Source organism: Homo sapiens, chromosome 20, assembly GCF_000001405.40.
Source record: "Homo sapiens chromosome 20, GRCh38.p14 Primary Assembly".
Classification (NCBI taxonomy): domain Eukaryota; kingdom Metazoa; phylum Chordata; class Mammalia; order Primates; family Hominidae; genus Homo; species Homo sapiens.
In genome coordinates this window covers 48,424,984-48,426,977 of record NC_000020.11, presented here as the reverse complement: position 1 = coordinate 48,426,977, position 1,994 = coordinate 48,424,984, and the positions used below count along the sequence as shown (strand labels likewise).

Here is a 1,994-nt window from a genome sequence, read left to right as displayed (position 1 = left end):
GTGGGTTTTGCTCACTGCATCTCCAGAGTCATAGGAATCTTTCATTGAACAAAATCTATTATTTCTTGATGCTGTGATGCAAGGCTTCCAGAGGAAAAGAGTTCAGCTTGCCTCTAGGGATCTCGTCAAGTGAGATATCTGGAGGGGCTTGGCTTTCCATGATGAAAGGACAATGCCATCATACAGCACAGTTTCCAAACCACACCTGCCACCCCTTAATGAGTCATGAAATCAATTCAGTTGATCTAGCCAGCATTAAAAAAAGATGAAATTGAATGAAATATATCAGAATTGATAGGATAGAATGCAATAGAAGAGAAAATGCCCTGTGCCTGTATGTGGTAAGGATAACTGTTGTTTTCTGTGCTAACTCTCGCTTTTTCTCTCTCTCTGTCTCTCTAAGTGCACAAGTGTGTTTACACCATGTCTGATAAAACACATATCTCTAACCGAGGGTTACAGTAAAAAGTGAGAAGCCCGATCTAGAGAATTTGCACACTCATCTTTTCCATAGACGGTAGCATCATCCTTCCTTGCAAGCTCTTCTGTCGGACTGAGCTGTCATGGGATCCTGGCCAAGGCACCCTGTCTGACTCTCAGGGACCAAGAGGTATTTCCCCTCTTGGGAAAATGCAGGAAACAAGGGTCTTGTGCATTTTTTAAAAAGGCAAATGCTTGTAGAGAATACACTACAGGTCTTCCCCTCCCCTCAAGTGACTAAACATGCTGGTGCCCCCAGTTTTAGAGGCAGAAATAATTACATAAATGGGCATAAAGATCTTTTTGCATTTTTAAAGCCAGATTCATGTCTGGGAAAGCCGTGTCTGCCATATCTGTAATAACCACCTTAAAAATGCAGGAGGGAGAAGGGACGTGTATGGAGTTGAAAAGTGTTGAATGCAGAGCAAGTCAGTAATTATGGCACAGAGTGAGGGAGGGCAGTAAATGTGCCTGATTATGCAAATCCAGGTGGAATGTGGATGCCAGTTGTGTTCTCATCTCCAGCTAAGAGGACAGCTGTCAGGACCAGAGCCCTGAACTGAGGGAGCAAGAGGGAGGGGGCAGACCAGCAGGGGCAGGAGCCCCGGAAGCTGGTTGTGGTCCTGGGTGGGCACAGCTTTAGGCAGTGAAGGGCCCTGTGTGCAGGGACAGCCAGATGCGAAGTGTGTGCAGGGGCCCCAGATGGAAATAAGACTCCACCAGCATCAGGCAGGTCCACTAAGGTGAGCAGACCGGGGCCCCGAGGTAGAAACCACCTGAGGCTGGATTGATGCTTCCAAAATTGTGATCCTCCTGCCACTGGTGGCTCATGGAATGAGTTAGGCAGCACGCGGAGAAGTCTTGCTGTCTGGAGTTCCATTTGTGACTGTGTTGCATGATGACAGGATGCAGGGAGCAAACGGCTGGATCCCTTCACTCATTTACTCACCCATGCTCACTGCGTTTCTATGTGCACCAGCTCTGGCGGAACAATGGGGGCTTCACAATGAGCAAACCAGACCCAGGCTGCAGGGGGGCAGGGAACAAAGATTTAACTAAGATTTCTAATATAGTGTCCAAAAGGGATAGGGCTTTAAGAAAAATTAAAGAGGGCAACAGTTTGGAGAGTGATGGTGTGGTCTGCTATTAGATACATCAGTTAGAGAGTCTATCTGATTAGGTGACATTTGAGCAGAGTCCTGAAGGGGAGAAGGAGTGAGCTACTTTTTTCTTTTCTTTTCTCTTTCTTTCCTTCTTTCTTTCTTTCTTTCTTTCTTTCTTTCTTTCTTTCTTTCTTTCTTTCTTTCTTTCTTTCCTTCTTTCTTTCTTTCTTTCTTTCTTTTTTTTTTTTTGAGATGGAGTCTTGCTCTTGTTGCCCAGGCTGGAGTGCGATGGCACGATCTTGGCTCACTGCAACCTCTGCCTCCTGGGTTCAAGTGATTCCCTTGCCTCAGCCTCCTGAGTAGCTGGGATTACAGGCATGCACCATCACACCCGGCTAAATTTTGTATTTT

General features: G+C 46.1%; 1 annotated feature.

Moving 5' to 3' along the window:
• Positions 642-1,148: an enhancer, noted in NCBI's record as "H3K4me1 hESC enhancer chr20:47054573-47055079 (GRCh37/hg19 assembly coordinates)". NCBI's record gives its function as "activates a minimal SCP1, AML or CMV promoter by ChIP-STARR-seq in naive H9 embryonic stem cells {active_cell/tissue: H9 hESC(naive)}" and the evidence as "EXISTENCE:reporter gene assay evidence [ECO:0000049][PMID:30033119]".